General features: G+C 43.9%; 2 protein-coding genes across 64 annotated transcripts in view; one reads left to right on the top strand and one right to left on the bottom strand.

Annotated features, from left to right (window-relative positions):
* The window catches only part of KANK1 (KN motif and ankyrin repeat domains 1), a 275,809-nt gene that overhangs the window by 35,420 nt on the left and 216,434 nt on the right, over positions 1 to 23,955 (bottom strand). For 4 of the 63 annotated variants that reach the window (NM_153186.6, NM_001354342.2, NM_001354344.2 and 1 more), the window contains exon 1: positions 3,437 to 3,631. The exons of 50 other annotated variants lie outside the window; for them this stretch is intronic. The gene's annotated coding sequence lies outside the window, so the exon portion shown is untranslated. Of the gene's footprint in view, positions 1 to 3,432; positions 3,632 to 16,897; positions 17,005 to 23,762; positions 23,921 to 23,955 lie in introns of those variants that run through there. 9 more of the 63 variants (NR_148869.2, NM_001354341.2, NM_001354343.2 and 6 more) reach the window with 4 other exon arrangements.
* On the top strand, positions 42 to 3,776 carry LOC107987042 (phosphatidylinositol 4,5-bisphosphate 5-phosphatase A-like). Its single transcript, XM_017015393.3, has one exon. It carries the CDS (start codon positions 2,359 to 2,361, stop codon positions 3,259 to 3,261), a length of 903 nt encoding a protein of 300 aa, XP_016870882.1. The 5' UTR covers positions 42 to 2,358; the 3' UTR covers positions 3,262 to 3,776.

Here is a 23,955-nt window from a genome sequence, read left to right as displayed (position 1 = left end):
TTTGAACCTGGATCTACAACAGCTGGGTAAGCAAGTTTTTTTTGTTTTTTTTTGTTTTTTTTTTTTTTGAGACAGGTCATTCTGTCACCCAGGCTGGAGCTGCAATGGCATGATCTCGGTTCACTGCAGCCTCCGTCTCCTGGGATCAAGCAATTCTCCTACCTCAGCCTCCTGAGTTGCTGGGATTACAGGGGTGCACCACCACGCCTGGCTAATTTTTACACTTTTAGTAGAGACAGGGTTTCACCATGTTGGCCAGGCTGGTCTCGAACTCCTGACCTTAGGTGATCCACCCAACCTGGCCTCCCAAAGTGCTGGGATTACAGGCGTGAGCCACTGCGCCCGGCTTGGGTAAGCAAGTTAATAAACCTCTCTTAACTTCAGTTTCTCCCTGAGTAAAAATGGAGATGCAAATATTTAACTCACAGGCTTAAAAACAATGTAATGAGATAATGATTGTATTATTTTTTAAAACTGTATGTTAGATTCAGGGAGTACATGTGCAGGCTTGTTACAAGGATATATTGTGTAATGATGAGCTTTGAGCTTCTAGTGTACACATCACCCAAATAGTGCACACCGTACTCAATAGGTAATTTTTCAACCCTCACTCCCCTCTTTCCCCACTTTTGTAGTCTAAAATGTCTACTATTTCCATCTTTTTCCATCTTTATGTCCATCAGTACTCAGAGATAATGATTAAGAGACAAGCACATAGTAAGTCCTTACTAAATATTTTTAAAAGAATTCATTATAAAAGACACGAAAGGCTGGGCACGGTGCTCACTCCTGTAATCCCAGCACTTTGGGAGGCCAAGGCGGGTGGATCACCTGAGGTCAAGAGTTTGAGACCAGCCTGGCCAACACGTGGTAAAACCTCGTCCCTACTAAAAATAAAAAATTGGCTGGGCATGGTGGCAGGCGCCTGTAATCCCAGTTACTTGGGAGGCTGAGGCAGGAGAATTGCTTGAATCCAGGAGGTGGAGGTTGCAGTGAGGCGAGGTCACACCATTGCATTCTAGCCTGGGCAACAGAGCAAAAACTCCGTCTCAATTAAAAAAAAAAAAAAAAAAGACATGAAAGCATTGTCCAGTAGATAATTTCATTGGTCATCTACAGTCTCTTGGAATATAGACAGCAGACATTAAGATTCCTGTTTTTCAAAGTGTTATCTGAGGCACACAAAAAAACTAAAAGTCAGTAGCAGACAGACAAAGTCAGCAGCATAACCAGGAGGCCTGGGATGAGATGTCCCTGCTGCTGTCTTTTGCAGACTGGGCTGCCTTTCTAAATGGAGGTCAAGGGCACTCAGCTCCTGACTACCTCCATGGGCTTACAATTTGCCTTGGCACCTCCCCGGCTGAGAAAGCTGGGGCATGGGATATTTAGTGATTAACTCTGGCAGCATGAGTAGAAGCACACAGAGGAAAGACTTCAACTCTATTTTGTGTTTTCCACTTCTCAGTTTCTCTCCTCATTTAAAAACAAAACCAAACCCTGTCTTAACTGTAGGAAGAGTTTTCTCCGTGTTGACTCCTTTTGGACAAAACATTCCCTATCCCAGGAACACCTTGTTTTGTATTGTCATGAGTTCAAACAGATGCAAAGAATGAAGATAAGGGCAAAACCTACATACTCCAACCACTGGATCATGTGGCACTCAGTAAATACTACTTAAGGCTAAACCAGACATTTAAAAGAGGAAACACAAGAACCTTTCAAAGCGCAGACCTTGTCGCTGACCTGGGCTATGCATTTCAAACTTAAAAGCAAGGTCATTTTTATTTTTTTAAATTGTAGGATCAGGTCATGTGTTGTTTTCCCAGAGCCACGCTAATAAGCTGCGCATTTTTAGAGCTATGGAAAGAACTCAAAAGCAATGAGTGAAAATGTAAGCCATCAGTCTCCCTGCCCTCTCCTGAGTATACAAACCCACTTGACTGCTGTCCAGTTTGAAGTAACTTCCAGCAAACCTGGTTGCTGTCTGCCCTCCCAACCCCCAGCACTGCCGAACATTTACACCCGACAGTGTGAATGCTGTGAAGAACACTTCTGCTTCCATCTGCCCGCTTTCTTCCCAAATGTTGGAAAGAAAGTACAAAAATAAGATTGCCAAGCAGAGGAATAAAAAGGACGTATATTCCTTACGTCCCAATTTAAAACAATATTAAATTGCTCTAGCTGTTCGATTCTAACACGTGTGGGAAGTGAATTCTATGTGAAAGAAGTGCCCAGCAGCAGTCATGCTCTAGCCTAAGAATGGGAGGGCTGGTCGGGAGGGCTGTGCCTGGAAACTTGTGCTCGTGTTAAAAGAACGTAGCTGTCCTTCTCTCTTTCCCTTTTAACTTTCATCTCCACATGGAGAAGGTGATCACTCAAAATATGCAGCCAGACCTGTCTCCAGTACTGTCTGAAATTCCATTAACAGGAGAGAAGCTGCAGCAGCCAGACCTGTCTCCAGGACTGTCTGAAATTCCATTAACAGGAGAGAAGCTGCAGCAGCCAGACCTGTCTCCAGGACTGTCTGAAATTCCATTAACAGGAGAGAAGCTGCAGCAGCCAGACCTGTCTCCAGGACTGTCTGAAACTCCATTAACAGGAGAGAAGCTGCAGCAGCCAGACCTGTCTCCAGGACTGTCTGAAACTCCATTAACAGGAGAGAAGCTGCAGCAGCCAGACCTGTCTCCAGGAATGTCTGAAACTCCATTAACAGGAGAGAAGCTGCAGCAGCCAGACCTGTCTCCAGGACTGTCTGAAACTCCATTAACAGGAGAGAAGCTGCAGCAGCCAGACCTGTCTCCAGGACTGTCTGAAACTCCATTAACAGGAGAGAAGCTGCAGCAGCCAGACCTGTCTCCAGGACTGTCTGAAACTCCATTAACAGGAGAGAAGCTGCAGCAGCCAGACCTGTCTCCAGGAATGTCTGAAACTCCATTAACAGGAGAGAAGCTGCAGCAGCCAGACCTGTCTCCAGGACTGTCTGAAACTCCATTAACAGGAGAGAAGCTGCAGCAGCCAGACCTGTCTCCAGGACTGTCTGAAACTCCATTAACAGGAGAGAAGCTGCAGCAGCCAGACCTGTCTCCAGGAATGTCTGAAACTCCATTAACAGGAGAGAAGCTGCAGCAGCCAGACCTGTCTCCAGGACTGTCTGAAACTCCATTAACAGGAGAGAAGCTGCAGCAGCCAGACCTGTCTCCAGGACTGTCTGAAACTCCATTAACAGGAGAGAAGCTGCAGCTTGGCTGTCAGGCAGGCTGATCCGGGCCTCCCGGGATGTGTGTGTGGGAGCCGGCGGGTCTAAGCTGGACTCCCGTAGGCCTGCGGTGGAGTGAAGCGGCCCAGCAGTGCGCACCTTCCCGGCCGGCCCCCCTCGCCCAGGCCCCCCGGAATTCGGCCAGCGGTGGCCGCCCCACGCCGCTCGCAGCTCACCTACCACGTGGCGCCCGCCGCGCTCCCCGCCAGCCCGCGCTGCCCCGCACAGCTCGCTCCAGCTCAGCCGGACCCGGCCTCGGGCGCCCTCGATCCTCACCCCGTGAGGAGAAGTTTCAACATTCGTGTAAACTTGGCCGGCCACGCTCGGATGCCATAGGCTGAGCTTTCACCGGCGAGGTCTCCCTCCGGCTGCAGTGACACCACCCCCGCCGCACTCAGCTGTTCCGCATTCCCTGTTTTCTTAATGAAAACAGGAAACCGGTATCTTCTGAAAATGTGTGTTCTTCACTCCCGCTTTGCCAGCTGATTTTTAAATAAAGCTAGCACTTTAAGCATCTCTACAGAGAGGCTCTGTTTTTCCTATACTAGTCACTGCTTCATGAAAGAGTCTGTGTCCTCCTGCCCAGCCCTCGGTCACCTGAGGAGGTGCAGAGGCACAATCAGCCCCACTGTTCTCTGCGGGTTCTCAGGATCCGGGCAGCACTCACTGGTTCCAGAGCACTGCCTGACTCTTCTCAGCCCTGGGCTTATGACACGTGGCAAGTAGTTATCCTTTATCATTAATTTCAACTGAGCCTTTGCCACTGATGAAAAGTTCTTCTTAAAAAATGAAAGAAAAACAAACCTTTTTCCAGATACGAAAGTAGTACATGCTTGTAAAACATTAAAAAAAAAAAAAAGCCACATACAGATAATTTAAAGAACGTAAAAAAAGGGCACTCAGATCCTACCATCAAGTGGCAAGCGTTAATATTTTGGTGTAACTCCTACTTTTTCTATACTTTTCCCACTTAAGGATTTTCAGTAGGAAAGATGAACTGACTCAACATCAGTATTTAAAACACAACAAAACTTATCACAGTTTTTACCAAAACCTAACTGGTCCATCTTTAGTTATTTCTTTAGTTCACCTTGTAGAAATCACAAAAAGCATGTATCACGTTGTATTACCCCCAAATGAACTTTGGACTTCTGGGAATCAGAAGAGGTTAGAATTTAACTAAGTTAGGCTTGCTTATTTCCTAATACTGCTCAAACCAGGCTACCCAAAGGACTTGTAATTCAAGTTTCATTCTCCAGCAAGTAAAAAAGTAAGATGTGTTTTCAAGGTGTCATTTTCACAAACAATTGTCCATGGTAAAAATTATTCTACAATAAAACTACCCGGTGTCATTATTTTTTTAATATCCTGTTTTCTAGTGTATGTTTACATACATCAACATAAATTAGGCACTTATGAGTCCCTGATTTATTTCCCAACTTTAACAAGACGAAAACACTTTTTTGTCTTTTGTACCAGACTATAAGCACCCAGAGAGCAAAAAACTTAATTAAAAAAAATTTTTTTTGGAGAGCACGCTGGCTCATGCCTGTAATCCCAGCACTTTGGGAGACCGAGGAGGGTGGATCACTTGAAGGTCAGGAGCTCGAGACCAACCTGGCCAACATGGTGAAACCCCATCTCCACTAAAAATATAAAAAATTACCCAAGCATAGTGGCGGGCACCTGTAATCCCAGCTACTTGGGAGGCTGAGGCAGGAGAATCGCTTGAACCTGGGAGGTGAAGGTTGCAGTGAGCCAAGATCACACACATTGCACTCCAGCCTGGGCAACAAGAGCAAAACTTCATCTCCGCCCCCACCCCCCCAAAAAAAATATACATTTTTTTTTTCATTGCTTCCTCTCCCAACCACACACCAATTATCAACATGCTGGGAAGAAAGGAGATGTCTGACAACGTTTACTGAAGGAATAAATAACTGAATATATAGTATAACATAATAAACTTGCTAGAGTGCAGTGGCGCCATCTTGGCTCACTGCAACCTCCACCTCCCTGGTTCAAGGGATTCTCCTGCCTCGTCCTCCCGAGGAGCTGGGATTACAGGCGTGTGCCACCACGCCCAGCTACTTTTTGTATTTTTAGTAGAGATGGGGTTTCACTATGTTGGCCAGGCTGGTCTCAAACTCCTGACCTCAGGTAATCTGCCTGCCTCGGCCTCCCAAAGTGCTGGGATTACAGCTGTGAGCCACTGTGCCTGGCCAACAGAATAAGATAATAAACTTTGAAAAACATCTTGATGCTCTGAAGACAGAAGTTGTTCGTTAAATATTAGTGTTAAGGACATTTCTTCCATGATATTGTTTCAGTTGTTATCTTTAGGTTGTGGAATTATAGATGATTTTTATTCTTTATATTTTATAATTTTTACAACACGTGGGTATTGCTCTTTTTTTTTTTTTTTTTTTTTTTTTGAGACAGGGTCCGACTCTGTTGCCCAGGCTGGAGTGACGTGGTGCGATCATGGCTCACTATAGTCTCTATCTCCTGGGCTCAAGTGATCCTCCCGCCTCAGCTTCCTGAGTAGCTGGGAACTATAGGTATGTAGCACCACGCCTGGCTAATTTTAATTTTTTAAAATTATTTTTAATAGAGATGAGTTCTTGCTATTTTGCTCAGGCTGGTCTTGAACTCCTGGCCTCAAGCAATCCTCCCACCTCAGCCTCTCAACATGCTGGAATTACAGGTGTAAGCCACTATACCTGGCCTGGGCATTTGTCTTAAAATATATTACAAGAAGTCTCTGTTTGGAAGGCAAATGGAATTGACTGCAATAAAATGAGAAAGTTCACTTGGGAGGTGAATGAATAGGGGTGGCCATGGCAAAGACAGCTTGATGTTCTTTAGTATGCATTATCCCCTCCTTCCACACTAATAGGGGCAAATAAAAGTCTGTAAGCAGAAGTGTCATGTAGTATACCCCAGGAACCTCCATTAAGAAACACAGAAATAATCCTTTCACCTATGTTCTTCTTTGTGCCTTCCTCCATCCTGCTGCCTGGAATGCAGATGTGATGACTAGAACACTAGTGTAACTTTGAAACATGAGTTCATATCTAGGGGTGGAGGAACGATGTACTAGAAGGAACTTGGGCCTCAAAGGACTTTGTGGATCAGAGCTACTATAACATTTCTAAAAAGCCTACCTCTATACTTTTAAGTGAAAAAGATATAAAGGTCTATTTTGTTTTAGCTATCGTTTGTTTTGGGTCTTGTTTACTTGGAGTTACACTGAATTCTAACAGGTACTACAGTTCTTCCCCCTTTCCCTCTCAAAAATTAAGACTAGATCTTAAAAAGGAGAAAGACGCTAAATTATTAACTGGAAAAGTGTTACAATAAAACTTAAATTATTAATTCAGGATCAAGAGGAAGTATAAAAACAACAGTTTTGGCCGGGCACAGTGGCTCACGCCTGTAATCCCAGCACTTTGGGAGGCCGAGGTGGGCAGATTGCCTGAGGTCAGGAGTTCAAGACCAGTCTGTCCAACATGGTGAAACCAGGTCTCTACTAAAAATGCAAAAAATTTAGCTGGGCATGGTGGTGTGCACCTGTAATCCCAGCTATTCAGGAGGCTGAGGCAGGGGAATTGCTTGAACCAGAGAGGTGGAGGTTGCAGTGTGTCAAGATCACGCCACTGCATTCCAGCCTGGGTGACAGAGCAAGACTCCGTCTCAAAAAAAAAAGAGCAGTTTAAAAAAAAAAATCTACCTGGGTTATAAAGAGACTCTTAACTAAGCCTTTTTGGACTAACAGAACTATGCCTGCTTTTGCACAGTCAAAATTCCACTGGCTATATCTGCAACTGAAATCCTGAGAGTAATAGCTTCCAACTAAATATTCTGGAATTGGAGGGCTGTCCCTGGTGTTTACAAAAATTTTTTGAATGTCTGGAAATCCAGTGGTGGAGACTGCTCCTGGCACCACCTCTACTTTCATTATATAAACATTTATTGAAAGCTTAATTGGCTACAGAAAATGGTCCTATTCAGTGGAAGGAGTAAGAGGAAAAATTTTTAAGAAATAAAATCAGATATAGTCTAGCTGAGAGATGACTACCAAACACCCTTAACACTAATTGAGATCAGTGACAAAGGCATATATCAACAATGCAGGCCATGAGTGGAGACTCATGCCTGTAATCCCAGCACTTTGGGAGGCCAGGGTGGGCAGTTCACTTGAGATCAGGAGTTCGAGACCAGCCTGGCCAACATGGTGAAACCCTGTCTCTACTGAAAATACAAAAATTAGCTGGGTGTGGTGGCACATGCCTGTAAACCCAGCTACTTGGGAGGCTGAGGCAGGAGAATCGCTTGAACCTGGGAGGCGGAGGCTACAGTGAACCGAGATTGCACCACCGCATTCCAGCCTGGGCAACAGAGAGAGACTCCGTCTGAAAAAACCCCAAAAAACAACAACCCCGCCCCCACTCCAAAAAACCAAAACACAATGCAGTATGAAAGTATGTAAACTAGTGATCAAAACAGAACCGAGTTAACGAGAGATGAGTTCTGAAGACAAGGTAAATGACCAGAGTAAAAAGGTGAAGAGCCAGGACAGAACCTGTTGGTGCTGCTGAAGGAATGCCAAGGTTAGACAAGGGGAAGAAGATGAGTACAGGAGAGGCCACCAATCTCACATCCTGGAGCAGGGCAAGTTTTTCCACTGAAACTAGGGGCTAAAAGGCATCAACAAAGATCGTCTTGACAATTGTGCGTGCGTGAGACTGACGTAGGGAAAGAGGCTACATTCAATAGGACCAGTTAAAATGTTATAATACCCAGTGGGAAGTGCAGACCGAATAAAACATTTATTCACACATTCGACTTACATTTATAATTGATATTGATAATAAAGGCACATGAATTAATTTCTGCTTTCTGTCTCTGTCTCTCTTTCTCTATCTCTCTAGTTTTCTATGGATCTTCACTTACTATTTACCATGCACTGTTCTCGGAGCTGGGGGCACCGAACAAAATGGACAAAGTCTCTGTTCTCACAAGGCTCACAGTCTAGTGGGGATGGGGTGCATAGAAAAGTAATTAAAGGCAGAAGTGAAGCAAACAGCTACATGACAGCTGGCATTGCCAGAATTTATACCAGCGTCTCAAGGTAAGTGGATGGCCTGCTAACTAACACTGGGCTCCATGTTGTCTTAGGTTGGCATCATCTCTGAGCCAACTCACTCCTAGACACCAAGGGTCACAGAGTCCATTTCCTCCCTCTCGCTCCCAACTAAGTTTGCACACTCTGCAATTTGGGGTAACCAAACACCAATGCAACGGCATCGATTAAAGAAAACTCTCCAAGTTCAGACCAAATTCCTCTGTGTTCAGAGAAAAGGTGAAATCAACAAACTGATGGCAAGTCTGCTCCTTATTTATATATTCATCTCCTATAAAACTTAGTGCTCTGTGAGAGGGGCCCAATTTACTGCCTCAAGAACAGTGAGAAATTTGCTTGCAATTCTTCTGCATTAACAAAGTGAAATGGAGTTATGGATATTTCAAAAATCATTTCATCTAGATTCATAAAGTACTATATGATTTTAACTTTTAATGAAACTAAACTTGCTGTCCAAATAATACATGGTTTTGAAAGACATAAAAATTAACGTACTCACCAGGAAGAAGATTAGATCGCAGGAAACTAGTCGAGTACTAACCTGCTTGCAGTGATTCTCAACTGGAGGTAATTTTTCTTTTAAACCAACCAAACGAGGCATGGAGGTGATTTTGCCCCCGCGAAGGGACATTTGGCAATGCCTGAAGATATTTATTGTTGTCGCTGCTTGGGGTGCTACCCGAATCTAGTGTGTAGAGGCCAGAGCTGCTGCACACATTTTGCCATGCACAAGACAGGCCCTCCTTCCCCCAACAAAGAATTATCTAGCTCATAATGTCAGTAGCGCTGAGGCTGAGAAAGCCTGTGCTGGGGACAGCGAGAAGAATAAAAATTCACAGATAGCAACTGAAATTTTGGCCATATAATCTGTATTCTTCCATTGGGCGCGGAGGCTCATGCCTGTAATCCCAGCACTTTGGGAGGCCAAGGCGGCTGGATCACCTGAGGTGGGGAGTTCGAGACCAACATGGAGAAACCCCACCTCTACTAAAAATACAAAATTAGCCCAGCATGGTGGTGCATGCCTGTAATCCCAGGTACTTGCGAGGCTGAGGCAGGAAAATTGCTTGAACCTGTGAGGCAGAGGTTGTGGTGAGCCAAGATCATGACATTGCACTCCAGCCTGGGCAAGAGTGAAACTCCATTTCAAAAAAAAATCTGTAGTCTTCAAGTCTTTCATTTCCTATTGGGGCCAATAACACTACGCTCAAGTGCTCAAGTGATAAAAAATGCCACTTTTGAGTAAAGAAAAGCATTCAATACTTTCTACATACTCTACCACAATGAGCCATTCTTTAATATGAGCAAAAAGCACTGGGGTGAAATAATGTGTCCTGTGGACTTTAAAACGGAGGAGACTTTGATATTATTACTTTATCTATTAATTAGGACACACTGACTTCTTTGTTCTGATTTCACTGCTGCACACTCTAGGCCCAGTTACTGACTGACGGTGCTGTGAAAAATAATTACACCCCTGTGCCACAACTTTCACACACTATTTATGTGTTTTTCTTCGCCAGATACCACACCTGACTGTTGAAACTGAAGAACTTTGCTAATTCCCATTAATGTTATTGTCCCCTCTCACATGAAGCATGAAGATTTTGCTTGAAGAGCTGAGTCAGTCCTAGAGAAGTACATAATTATCACAGATTTCCACATTTAAAAGCCCCAGAGTGTAAGCATCCTGCTGTTCAAAGCAGTCAAAAAGATCCCACGTCAGCAGGAAAGCAAACCAGTAGGATGAACTCAGGAAGAGAGGCAAGTTCTCATGAAGCTAATTACTCAGAGTATGAGAGTAATTAAGTTAGCACATCAACTTTTCCAGGAGTGGAAAGTGTTCTAAGAAGACAGCGAAGTACAACAGCGTCCTTCTGAACGGGTTTAGCAGGTGGTATCTCCTGATGACACTGTTAGCACTAAGCTCTTTGAGACCCAGCAGCTTCGCTACCTGTATCAAATTTGTGTGAGGAACACCATTTGTTAGAGAACACACAATAAAAAGGGTAGCAATATGAGTGTTCCTCCTTCTGGTTTAAAGGAAATGTATAACAGATGAGATTTTCTTTTGCTCTTGCATTTACCAAAGAGTTGTTTTTAAGCCTGCTCTTTTCCCTCCCAGATAAAACCCGTTCATTCAGGCATTCAAATGATGGGCACCTGCCACGTGCTAGGCTTTTTCTAAGAAGCCTGAAATGCTTCTCCTCACAGAGTTTATACTGCCTACTGCAATTCACCAATACCTCTTCAGGTTATACGTAGGTAGGTAGGTAAGTATGTATTCATTCATTCTTTTAGAGACAGGGTCTTGCTCTGTCACTCAGGCTGGAGTGTAGCGGCACGATCACAGCTCACTGCAGCCTTGAACTCCCCAGCTCAAGCGATCCTCCTGCCTCAGCCTCTCTAGTAGCTAGGACTACAGATGTGTGTGACCAAACCCGGCTAATTTTTAAATTTTTTATAGAGATGGGGGTCCCACTATGTTGCCCAGGCTAGTATAGCTGTTTTAAAAAGCTACCTAAACACTTCATGCAAATAAAATTGTAACATTAAAGAAAGCAAAAGTATATGCCAGAAGTTCCTAAGAAATATCAGGTCAGTTGACACATATGTAGCATAACTGCAATTTTACAGGCTTGGTTTGTTTATATGATTAAGTTAGAATGTGGTCTTGCTTCGTGTACTCCTAACCCTTCCTAACTCCTTTTGGCTTCTCCCCACAAATCTTTGGATTTCCTCTCACAGATAATCTTATCTGGACTTTTTTAACAGACATTAACCTGCACACTACTCCTACATCTTCCACTGTCTCCCATCACTACCCTTCTCCATACCAGCTCCATCTTCCACATCTACCTGTTCCTGCTGATGTAAGGAAGATGCAGTTGTTACACTGAAAGATGGATGTATTCTTTCATTCAGCAAATATTTATTAAGTGCCTGCAATAGGCCAAACACGGCTAGGTGCTAAGCAAAACAGACACAGAGCCTGTCTGGGTAGAACTTACGAAGTATAGGAGGAGACAGACAAGTGATCACATAAATAACAACTGTATTAAGTGTTGTGAAAGCACAATGCAGGCGTTATGTTGGAACACAGCAGGGACCCTGCCTAGGCTACGGGTAGGGAGGGTTCTTCAAGGGAGCGGTAGCTAAGGAGTCCACCGGGCAGTGTGGTGGGGATGTGTGGAGGGATGGCAGAAATTCTAGGCAGAGGAAAGAGCATATGCAAAACCTGCCACTTTTAAGAACTGGGAAGAGGACTTTGCAAAGACTGCAGTGAGGCAGAAAGGGGACAGACAGAGCCCTAATTCCACAGGACCCTGGGGATCAAGTTTTTGCATCATAGATGCATTGGTAAGCTATTGAAGGGTTTTAAACAAGGGAGTGAAATGATCAGATTTGCATTTTAATAAGATTGCTCTGGCTAGATGCTGGAGATTAAAATTCTCCTCAGCATTCTCCATTAGGGTTTCCATGGATTATTCAAGTCCCCATGAATTTTTGTCTAGGTATAACAAACTCCTTTGCACCATATGAATTTTACCTACCCAATTAGATGGTAAGTGGTAATAGTAAGATAAGTTCTGGTGGTATTCCACAATGAGAACTTTGACACTGTCTGCATCTGGGCTAGCCAGCCTGTAGCCTTGACTCTGTCTGCCCCTAATACTTCGGAGGAAACTGAGAAGGTCTGACAAATTCCAGCTACTCTGGGCTGAGCTGGAGACCAGGATCCGGTCTCTGGGCTTGTCTTCTAGGGCTCTGTTACCTCATTCTGCTATTAAAAAAGAAAATTTTTTCTTTAAACCAATGGATGACTCACCGCAGAGAAAAGTGATGGGATTCCTTTTCTGAAGGTCACTGAAGTATGAGAAATCTAACCTGGGAAGGACGGATATGGCATGAGTGAGGGCAGGAAGAAACAGGAGACAACATTTTAGGGAATCCAGGTTCTGATTTAGCATGTTGAGATGCAGAACACAGACTCGCTCTGTGTTTGAAACTCTAGGATGGGAAGAGCAAGGACTGAAAATGCCTGTGAGGCTAAGACAACACCGACCCTGACAGCCAACAAGTGTCTCTGGAGGCAGGAGAGAAAGGCGGGCAGCACGCTGTTTCCAGCTTTGTGTACCTATCCACCCGCATCTGACCAGGGCCTGAATTGGCCAACAGGGAAAGCTAAAGGTAGACGATAGGCCTGGGGAACTTAAACAATATACTCTGAAAACGCAAAACTTCCACCCACCAGATGGTCTCTGACAAGCTGAATTTCAGGTTGGCTTGCCTCTAGGGTCCCGAGTGTTACTGTTGGCCTGCCTACCACAGATCTTGTTGCAGGTAACCCATACTGTCTGAGATAAATACATATCTAGAACTCAGATAACACCCTCCGCCTACCAGTTATTAGTCTCAATCGTCAGCACACATCAGATTGGCTATTTAATGCCAGTGTCAAGGGTATATTTGATTCAAACTCTTTTGAACCCCCACTAGCCAAATCTAGGATAATTTGAGCATGAAAATAATATGATTAATGATAGTAACAAGTTACAATCCAGAGAATAGGTATCTACTTGTGAGTCCATCATGCTATAATAAATATGTAGGAATACCAACTAATATATACAAGGAATTATGTCAACAGAAAATCACCATGGACCAATTATTAGAACAGTGGCGGATTCAGGTAGGAATCACTAGCTAAGGCTAGTGGGTAGAGATTTCCTACTAAAGACTAAGATACTGATGTCGTCTCAGAATATCTCACCAGAAAATATTCCTGGAAACGTCTACAACTTCTCAATTACTATCCTTGCAAAGTCATGTGCCAGGAGCTCCATTTTAAAGAATAAAGCCTAAAAGCTCTTTTCTGTGGCATGAAATGTCAATCATAAAAAAAAATGGTGACTCTATGATGAGAAAGCTGACAAATAACCACCTCGACCAGGTGATCAAAGTTGACATCATGTATCTGCATGGGGAAGAGCAGAGCATCACTTTTGCACTGTCCTGCCAAGAAGGCATGGCCTGGACCCTGCCTGAAACACATTCTACAGAATGTCAGGCCTCTCTTTTTAAAACCATCATGGCCATGAAAAAAAGGTAAAAACGAGAACTTTTCAGATGGAAGGAGGCCAAAAAGACATGACAACTGCATTTCTACACACAGACACACACACACACACACACACACACACAGATGGAACAAATACGGTAAAATGTTAACCACTGGGAAATCTGAGTCTGGGTGAGGAAGACATGAGAGCTCTTTTTATGTACGATTAAAATTATTTAAAAATAAATTTTATTTCTGTCTTTCCTTTCTTCATCTGTGCATCAATGTCCTTAGGGTGCACGAGTGCAGTCAGCCTGCCACTAGGGAGCACAGCCCAGACTCTGCTGTTACTCATACTGCAAATATGCAGCCTGTTTTCAGGGGCAGATGGCTTTGCTTTCCTGTATTACATATTATTTGAGAAATTTTACATTTGTTTCAGGTATTCCTGGAAACGTCTACAACTTCTCAATCACTATCCTTGCAAAGTGATGTGCCAGGAGCTCCACTTTAAAGAAGAAAGCCTAAAAGCTCTTTTCTGTGGCACGAAATGTCAACAATTTAGCCCCAATCCAGCACCTCCCAGGTTCCTCCCCACCCCAAACCTCAACGTACTGAGAAATTTTCAAGCTTATCTATCTTTGCTCATTCTATCCCCTCTACCCAGCACACCCTTCCCCACACTCTCCCATCTGTCAAAATCAGCTGCATTGTCCTAAAGGGCCCAACCCAGATACCTCATTTTTGTAAAGCCCTACTTACCCTCAACTGCTCTGTCCTGGGAATAACTGGTCCCCTTCTTCCCTCTTGTTTCCTAAGTCACTTTGCCTATATACGCGGAACTGTGTTACAGTTAGCAAGCACATGCCTGTGTTTCTCTACCAGACTCTAAGTGTCTAGGGGAGGCAGAAGTCAAGCAGTTTTTTTTTTTTTTTTGAGACGGAGTCTCGCTCTGTCACCCAGGCTGGAGTGCAGTGGCGTGATCTCGGCTCCCTGCAAACTCCGCCTCCCGGGTTCACGCCATTCTCCTGCCTCAGCCTCCCGAGTAGCTGGGACTACAGGCGCCCGCCACCACGCCCGGCTAATTTTTTGTATTTTTAGTAGAGACGGCGTTTCACCATGTTAGCCAGGATGGTCTCGATCTCCTGGCCTCGTGAGCCGGGCTTCCCAAAGTGCTGGGATTACAGGCATGAGCCACCGCGCCTGGCCCTCAAGCAGTATTTATGTTTGTATTCCTCAGTACTTGGCGCTTGGTACATGGCCCTCTTAGTATCTGCTGAAGTGTAAAGCCCCACATCTAGGCATCTACTGATGAATAAGTATAACAGAGGAAGAGATGTAGTGATTTGAAGCAGGCACTCTGGGGCCAGACTGCCTGGGTTTGAATCCTGGCTCTGCTGCTTTGCAGCTGTCGGCAAATTAGACTATATTCCAATTGTTTGAGAAAATAATAGTACCTGCATCAGTGTGTTGTCACTTAGAACAATGGGTGGGTTCTATTGTCACTACTAGTGGTACTGGATCACCCTCTGTTGTCTGGAGAAGAACACAACCCTGGCCCCCCAGAGAGGATCCAGAACCCTTCCTCCTCTATACCTTGCCCCCCCCCCCACGAAGTCAGGGTTTAAGGTATTTGTGATACTTGTTCAAGACCAAGTAAGTCTGCTAAAATCTTGAGTTCTACATTGGTTTCTTCTTCTTAAGAGTGTATGAAGGAGATGCCAGCAGGGAGCTGTAGGGGATGTGTGTGTGCACACGCACTGCTTGGGCAGAGTGGTATGTACCAGTTAGATAAGGGGGAGTCCCAGTCCAGCACAGGAAGGAAATAAAAGCAAAAGCAGACAAACACCCCCCAACTTTTAAAGCATATTATGGCCAGGTTAAAATATCTCCATCTCACAACATGAGGGCAAAGGTGAGTGCCGATTATTCTGAACACTCATTCTGCAGCTCTCCCGAAGTCCTCAGGGCACAGTGCTCTCTAACACACTGTGCAAAGACGGTGCTTTAAGCCACCCAGAGCACCTCCAGGGTAGTCGTCCTGAATGGCCTGCCTAGGTTGGGGGAAGGTATACTATTGTTTTCATAAAACAAGAACAGGAACTATGATCACTTCCTAGTTCATGCACGAGCCATGGGCAAGAGAGCCCTGGAATCATACAATGCAGTGATGTGATTCATACCCTTAAAATGAGGGGGGTCAGTGGAACTCTGATTTCCAAAGTTGCTTCCAGGCTATGAGTAACTGTCGACTAGACTTGATACAAAATTTCTTAACATGGCATGAAGAAAAATGAATCACGGCAGGTGTCAGACCAGATGAGCTCAGGCAGACAGAGCCTGCAGTCTTCCCCTCTGCACGTCCCACTCAGCAGCACCTTTCCAGCTGCATCCTAACTGGCATGACCTAACAATCCCCAGTGCAGTGTCCCTCCTGGGTATTGCCAATTCTACTCTGGGCATGGGTTAAGAGGCCAGAAGCCAGGCTGCACGTAAGAGTGAGGGGAAGACAGCGGAAAGGGTTACTATTCTCAGTAGTGGAACGGCCTGTCTTAATAAAGGGCACATTGTGCTAGGGAGGCATGTGATGGTAACAGGGGCCTTGCGGTTTATACAGTGGCCCTCTTCTCCAGTGTTCAGTGCCAACTACAAGATGCAGCAACTCTTTACCCCAAATCTGTCTCAAAACAGCCAAAATGCCATGGGCTCCTAAGTGCAACCCCAACTATGCTGCTCTCTAATGTCCACTGTCTCATTTTAAAAGTTGTTGCTGAAATACAGCCCAAATCAATCATGCATGCACAGAAGAGAATGAGCTTGGACTGTTATTTTCCAAACTTTCTTCAAAAGTAACATGCTGTTCTAAGCGTAAAAAAGAAATGTGCCAGTTCAGAGAGTAATTCTGTGAAAAGCAGAAAAGGAGCACTGGCTAACTTAGGGATAAAACAGGCTTTTCTAACAAAACATTACAGTTTTTTGGCCAGGGGGAGGTGGGGTGGTAGTGGAAAGCTAGTATTTGTATGAATCCCTGTCCTTATTTTGTTTTATAGTGTTTATACAAGAAGCCAGCTTTAATGAATATTGAGCAACTCCCTATTGGAAAAACAGAGCTGAAAACAAATACCCAAAGATGGATTTAGCAACAAAAAAGGAAATTATTGAATTGAACTAAACCTTAAACTCAAAAACTCAAATCTTAGCATATATATATGTACAACCATTCACTCCTGCAACAATGACATCTTTATGTTAAAGCCATAGGTAAAGCTGAAATTTTCACTGGACCAAAAATCAAGTACTGGGTTATTCTTTCTAGCTTGAAGTAAAAGCAAATCTTTTTCACAACACACAGAGCTCGAGTTTATATTTCACCAACCCCCACCCAAACATCATGCTCTCCTCCTCTCTTTCTTTTGTGGGCATTCTTACTTACCCACCCAGAAACAAAATAACTGTGATTTTCAGCGAGCAGGAAGCCAGGTCTCAGGCAAACTTCCCTCAGCATTAAAGGGACTCCACACATTAGCAGGCAAAGAGCCCAGGAGCTGTTGCAGAGAATTTATTTATACCCATTTGGAATTTCCTGACGAACTAACAGCCTGCTGGCCACGGGGTTTAATTCCAGGACTCTTGGCGTCAGTGAGACAGCAAAAATTACCAACAAACAAAACTGCTAGCAAGATCTTAAAAAAGAGGCAAAGCCCTCTCTCATCTTCCTTCTGATTTTTCAAACTATCCTCATACTCTTCAGGCATATGAAATGCTGACCTAGAAATGCAGCTGTAAGCCTGTTAATTCTAGGAAGAAATCAGAAAGGCAGCAAATGTTTCCTCATTGTTTGTGCTGACTTACTCCCTCTTTCCCTAACCCTCCACTGCAGAGAAAGGCTCTCTGTTACAATTTGAGCTATAGCACAGCAGCTGGCTTGTGAAGGAAATGATTGAGTTTTATGCTGAACCGAGGCTGGAATGGAGGCAAGTGGTTCCTTTTTGGTTTCTTCTTATTTAATGCAACATATAATTAGAAGGCTAAAAACAATCACCATTCGTAAACCATAGGCCCAAGCCTCCTTCCCTTGCTCTGTACCCTCATACTCTTAAACATTTTATTCATAACATCTTCGAGCAACCTTTGTTTTTGTTTCAAAAAGTTAGTAAGAATGGTATGTTCCCCTAATGATTTAAATTCATTACCTAAAAAAAAAAAAAGTTCTTTTTTGAGATAGTGTATCACTCTGTCACTTAGGCTGGAGTACAGCGGTGCAATCACAGCTCACTGTAGCCTCAACCTCCTGGGCTCATGTGATCCTCCCACCTCAGCCTCCAGAGTAGCACGACACCATGCTCAGCTAATTTCTGTATTTTTCTTGTAGTGATGGGGTCTTACTATGTTGCCCAGGTTGGGCTCGAATGCCTGAGCTCAAGAAGTCCTCCAGCTTTGGCTTCCCAAAGTGCTGGGATTACAGGCATGAACCACCACACATGGCCCAGAATTTTTTTTTTTTTCAAAAGCAGAAGAAAACATTTCTGTCAAAAGTAAATGATAACATAAACCTCAAGAGAATTTTTAGTGTTATGGGTATGTTCTAAAACTGGATTGTGGATATACAACTGTCCACATATACTAAAACTTATCAAACCATACACTTAAAATGGGTGAATTCTATGGTATGTAAAACAGCTCAATAAAGTTTAAAGTAAAAAAAAAAAAAAGGAAGAAAAAATCTAACCCAAATCTCTTACTAATGGAGGTCTTGTTGTGTAAAGTAATATGAAATTATTTGGATCTGCTATTTCAAAATACCTGGCACTTGAAACTTTGTTTTTAGTTTGTTATTTTTTAATCTGTTGGTTTATTTGGTATAAACCAAGCCCCAAGCCCAAATAAGTGCCATGGTCTTATAGAGTTTAATCTTTGTGTCTTCACACAGGAAAGTATGTGTCTCAAAGATAATCACCTTTAAGGTCTCCCATCAGTAACTGTGGTCACCAGTAGGAGATGAGACAGAAGGAAAGTAAATGGAATAAGGCAGGGCATGTGCAGGCACCAAGATGAGCCAAACTAGGCAGGTCCAGTGAATTCTTATAAAACTGTGCCTCTCTCTACACAGCTGTCCCGTTTTGAATTTTACAAAACAGGCTATTTAGAGTCATCCGTCATCTTTGTTGATCTCTGTTTTATTGTTTAGAACTGGCTTTGCCTGCCTGCCCTGTGATAAAATTCAGTAAATCTTGTTCAACTAGTGCCACATTTACCCAATGTACTTAGACAAAGGTGAAGAAGGCATTTAAAAGAACCCTTTTTGGGGGGCATGGTGGCTCATGCGTGTAATCCCAATTCTTTGGCAAGCTGAGGAAGGAGGATTACTTGAGCCCAGGAGTTTGAGACCAGCCTGGATGACACAGTGACACTCTGTCTCTACCAAAAAAAAAAAAAAAATTAGCTAGGTGTGCTGGCTTGCCCCTGTAGTCTCAGTTTCTCGGGAGCTGAGACTGGGAGGATTACTTGAGCCTGGGAGGTTGAGGCTGCAGTGAGCTATGATCATGCTACTGTACTCCAGCCTGGGTGACAGAGTGAGACTCTGGTCTCAAAAAAAAAAAAAAAAAAATTCTGGTATTATTTAGTTACATTATTATATTCCAAACTAAGATTTAATATCGGCTGGGTGCAGTGGCTCATGCCCGCAATCCTAGCACTTTGGGAGGCCAAGGCAGGAGGATCACTTGAGCTCAGGAGTTTGAGACCAGCCTAAGCAAAATAGTGAGACCTTGTCTCTATTAAAAAAAATAATAATAAATAAATATATATATATATACACACACACACATACAATTTTAAAACTATCAAAAGACTTGTTCTTAAAAGTTAAACGAATAAAGTACTGAATGTAGTGTTTCTTGATCCTGCAAAAAAAAAAATCTGCTACATTCATAAATATTGTGTTCTGGTAAGAGTTTAGATTACATAAAGCAGTCAAAGTCAATCATTTTGCTAAAGTAGCTTGTATCTGACCCTATGGGTGTTTGCCTCTGTGCTTCTGTGAAGGTGAGGTCCACCAGAAAAAGTCATTGTATGCAAATAAATGCCTAGTCCTTTATCAGACGATGACAAGGGTTGGGAAGGGAAACAATTAAAAATTTGAACCTCTTCTGCCTGGAAACCATCAGTCACAAAGGTTCCCACTGAAGAGAGAAACACACACCTATCTGCCTTTACTCTTTCAATATACATACAAAGAAAGAAGCCAAGTAAGATGTGGGAAGATGAAGATATACTCAAGGCTTGGCCTCTGACAGGCGGAGAGTAGCCAGAAAAGGTGACGCCCAGTGAGAAAAGGAACCTGCTGGAGACAAAAGCCTTCTGTGGTACCAGGCTGGCTGAGCGTATACCAGCACAGTCTTTATCCCTGGGATGGTGGCTTTGGAACTTTGAGACTTCAACCTGAACCTTCAGTTCTTACACTTAACAGGATTACTGCAGCAACACTTTTCCCCCAGAGAGCCTGCTCCATTAGTCTAGAGATAAGAACAAAGTTAAATTAAGTAGTGAGTGGTGGCCTGAATTACACTGTGGACAGGTCAAGATGCCTATTTCCTGACATCCATTGAATTTACTTTCCTCCCCCAATGTTCCCTGCCCTCATCTTTCCCCACCACCCACTGTGCACAATTCTTCTGGACTCCACTGCTGCAGGTGCCTTATACATACACGAACTCATTTAATCCTCACAACAACCCTACAGCAAGGTATGATTACTTCAGCCTTTTACAGATGAAGCTTATGTCATGCATAAGCATGGTGCTATTCTACTGCTACTGCTTACTCTACTGCTGAATGCATACTATTTTGGTACTGAAAAGCCATAAACTAGGGACATTCTCTCTTGTAGCCTTTTTTTTTTTTTTCTTTTTTTTGAGACAGAGTCTCGCTCCGTCACCCAGGCTGGAGTACAATGGCGGGATCTCGGCTCACTGCAACCTCTGCCTCCCGGGTTCAACCAATTCTCCTGCCTCAGTCTCCTAAATAGCTGGGATTACAGGGGCCTGCCAACACACCCAGCTAGTTTTTTTTTTTTTTTTTTTTTTTGTATTTTTAGAAGAGATGGGGTTTCACCATGTTGGCCAGCCTGGTCTCAAACTCCTGACCTCAGGTGATCCACCCACCTCAGCCTCCCAAAGTGCTGGGATTACAGGCATGAGCCACCGTGCCCAGCCTCTTGTAGTTCTTATAAACAACAATAACAACAGCAACAACAAAACCCAAGGACAACAATCAAAACAATCTCACATTCCTCCCACCCTTTCTGGCTCAGGTAAGCTTACCTTGCAAAAACTCTACCTATGAGTATTTGCCTTAGAAAGAGACAGAGTGAAAGGAGGATGCTCTGCTACCCCACGCTGAGGGCCTGGGTTATTTCTGTTATATTGGACTTCCCCAAACCCCTGAAGAGTTCAAATACTGTATTGTGCTGCTTTAACCGACCCCTCCCCTTAGGTGCTTGGGATGGGTGTGAGACCTACACTGTGAGCTGCAATGAGGGAGAAAGTGGGTATGGCCCTTTCCACAGCACCAAGGCTCTTCTCCACCCATCTCTTTCATAGTCTTAGGGTGTGACAGGATTTAGGGGATTAAAAGGAAAGTCCAGCAAAGGTGCCTGCTTTTCCATTCCTCCTCCTGTGAGGTGTGCACCATGTTGGGTCTTGGATGAGGACTCCTCCTTTACATGCCTGGATTAGCAGGATCCGCTCAGAAGACTTAACATGAGGGGAGATTTTCCAAGGAGAGGCCACCCTGCCTTCCACATGAGGAGGGTGTGCCCCGGCAGAGGGGTCTGATTCTTGTCAGGAGAGTGACTTTAGGAAGACGATGCTATCTGATGGTCCTACCTTAAAAGACAAGAAAAATAAAAAGTCTTCTGTCTTCTTATCCTTTATTCAACAAACGCATTTCCCCAAACACATGTGAAGGCTTAAAACTAGTGTCGCATGGGCTTTCTACACCTTAGGCTTTCTTCACAGTCTGGATTGCCCCATGGTTATTACCTTTGTCACATCTAAAGAAGAGATGGTCTCATAATATATTTTCATCCAAGATTTGAAATCAGCATTAAGAAAAGCCAATACCAAATGAATTGGGGGGACACAGAACTAAATAAGAACATTAAGACCTTAACTTAGATTACTACAAAGACTCTATGAAGGCTGTAAATAAGGGATAATAAGGACTATTTATCTCCTCACACCTAAAAGAGGTGAGGTCTGTAGAGACCTTCCCAAGAAAACAGTGGGAAAGAAGGAAAGCAGGCCAGCCAGCCATACCCCCAGGGGCTACCAGCTCAGGTTCTTACCTACGGTTGCAACCAGCCCACCAAGCTGCACCAGAGAATAAGCCTGAGACAAAAGGAACCAACTGGAGTACCACCTCCTCCCTATCTGGTTGTGCTGCTAACATGCCACAAAAAGCAATGAAAGGCCATGGCAGCCAGGAAGAACTTTCCAAATGGCCCCTGACAATAATCTTCCCCTTAAGACAGCCACAACATACCTGGTCACCTCTCTCTGGAACCCAAGGCACTTAACAGACAATACCATCTTTCTTTCTCACTCTTTTTTTTTTTTTTTGAGACAGAGTCTCGCTCTGTCGCTCAGGCTGAAGTGCAGATCTCGGCTCACTGCGACCTCCACCTCTCGGGTTCAAGCTATTCTCCTGCCTCAGCCTCCCAAGTAGTTGGGATTACAGGTGCCCGCTGCGACGCCCAGCTAATTTTTGTATTTTTAGTAGAGACGGGGTTTCACCCCGTTGGCCAGGCAGATCTCAAACTCCTGACTTCAACTGATCTGCCTGCCTTGGCCTCCCAAAGTGTTGGGATTACAAGCATGAGCCACCACACCCAGCAACAACACCATCTTAAGCCTGCCTTAGAGCAAGTGAGGGAGAGAAAGCAGATAACTACAACTTTCACGAGAGGAGGCAGAACGCAAGAGTGTGTGTGTGACACAGTAAAAGCCATCTGTTCACCCAGGAAACACACCCAGGTGAAGTGTCACACATGAATTCACAGAGCGACCAACTGGGAACTTACGGGAAAAGGCTGGAAGAAAACTGCAAAGAATATAGCACATCAGATTGGCAACTGGCAGGGCTCAGGCCCACAAATTCTTAGGCAGGTGCTGGGCCTGATTTTTGACCTGTATTATATGCCCAGCATCATGCCAGCACAAAGTAGGTGCTCTGCAAATATTTGCTGGTTGAACATTGAATCTGTTGACTCTACAAGGACTACTAAGCAAGGCATTGTTGGGCATACGAAGAAGATGACATGATTCTTGCCTCTTAAAACACTCAAGTTTATAAGATTAGTGACGCACACAACCGTAACTCTTAATTAAAAGCAACTGATGGCAATTATTTAATAGAAATAATAATAGAATAATAACAGAATAAAAGGAATAAAGAAGAGGAAGAGAGGAACTCCCATTGGGAGTATCTGAGAATGCCTGTTGGGAGAGGTAAGAGAGGCAGCAAGACTTGAAGGATAAGAAGGGCTTATATTAATAGATATGGGAAAGATATCCAGGTCAAGAAAGCAAAGACACTAACTGGGGAACAGGGCAGGGTGGGGCTGGGCAACAGCACTGGGAGGGAGCAGATGCCCCTATCTTACACAACTCTTTGGATACAGCTGGTCTCTGAGTACCTGTAGTCATGGACCTCCGGTAAGGCCTACTGTGATTTTTACAGACACAAGAACTGAAGAAACGGAAATAGACCATGATTTCAGACAAAATAAGTCCAAAACAAAAGTTCAGAGTTAAGATAAGGGAATAATAGTTAGAGATTAAAGTTTGTGAAAGTGAAAATGTTTGGGGAGACAGAAAAATAACAGAAAATACAAAGCTCAATGATCCTTAATCTTGCCAGCCATCCTTACATACACAAAACCACAAAGCAGGGAGAAAAAGGCAAAGAAGGACCAATGCTCGCAGCCTCGGGGCTGGTCCATTACACAAAGAAGGAAAATGGCAAAGATGTATTCTGCCAAATACATCTGTATGGTCATTTAAAAGTGAGCCACTGAATGAATGAACTCACTGAATTGAAGTATTTCTATGGAGTTTCATAACATTCCTTCCAGTAGTCCCCAAACAACACCCCAATTGAAATGCAGCAGTATTAAAAAAAAAGAAAAGAAAAGAAATTCAGCAGTATCTGCAAAGTCTCATCTCAAAGCATCCAGGGACAACATACCAAAGGATAAGAGCCCAGAGGAAAAGCCCCCAGCCCTAAGCCCCCTTTACCTTTCTAGAAGATGTTTAGTCTCAGGATTCTTCATTTACAATCAGTGTCCTGAGGTGTTGTGAATTCCAGCTGCTGTTTTCTAGCACCCAAGTAACATCCTAGCATGTTCCTCAGAGAACACTCAGCTCCAGCACGTGTGTGATGCTTGGGCCCACTCAGATCCCTTACCGGATAGGCTCATAGGTAACAATC

Source organism: Homo sapiens, chromosome 9 (assembly GCF_000001405.40).
Source record: "Homo sapiens chromosome 9, GRCh38.p14 Primary Assembly".
Lineage (NCBI taxonomy): Eukaryota > Metazoa > Chordata > Mammalia > Primates > Hominidae > Homo > Homo sapiens.
This window is presented reverse-complemented; position numbering and strand designations above follow the sequence as displayed.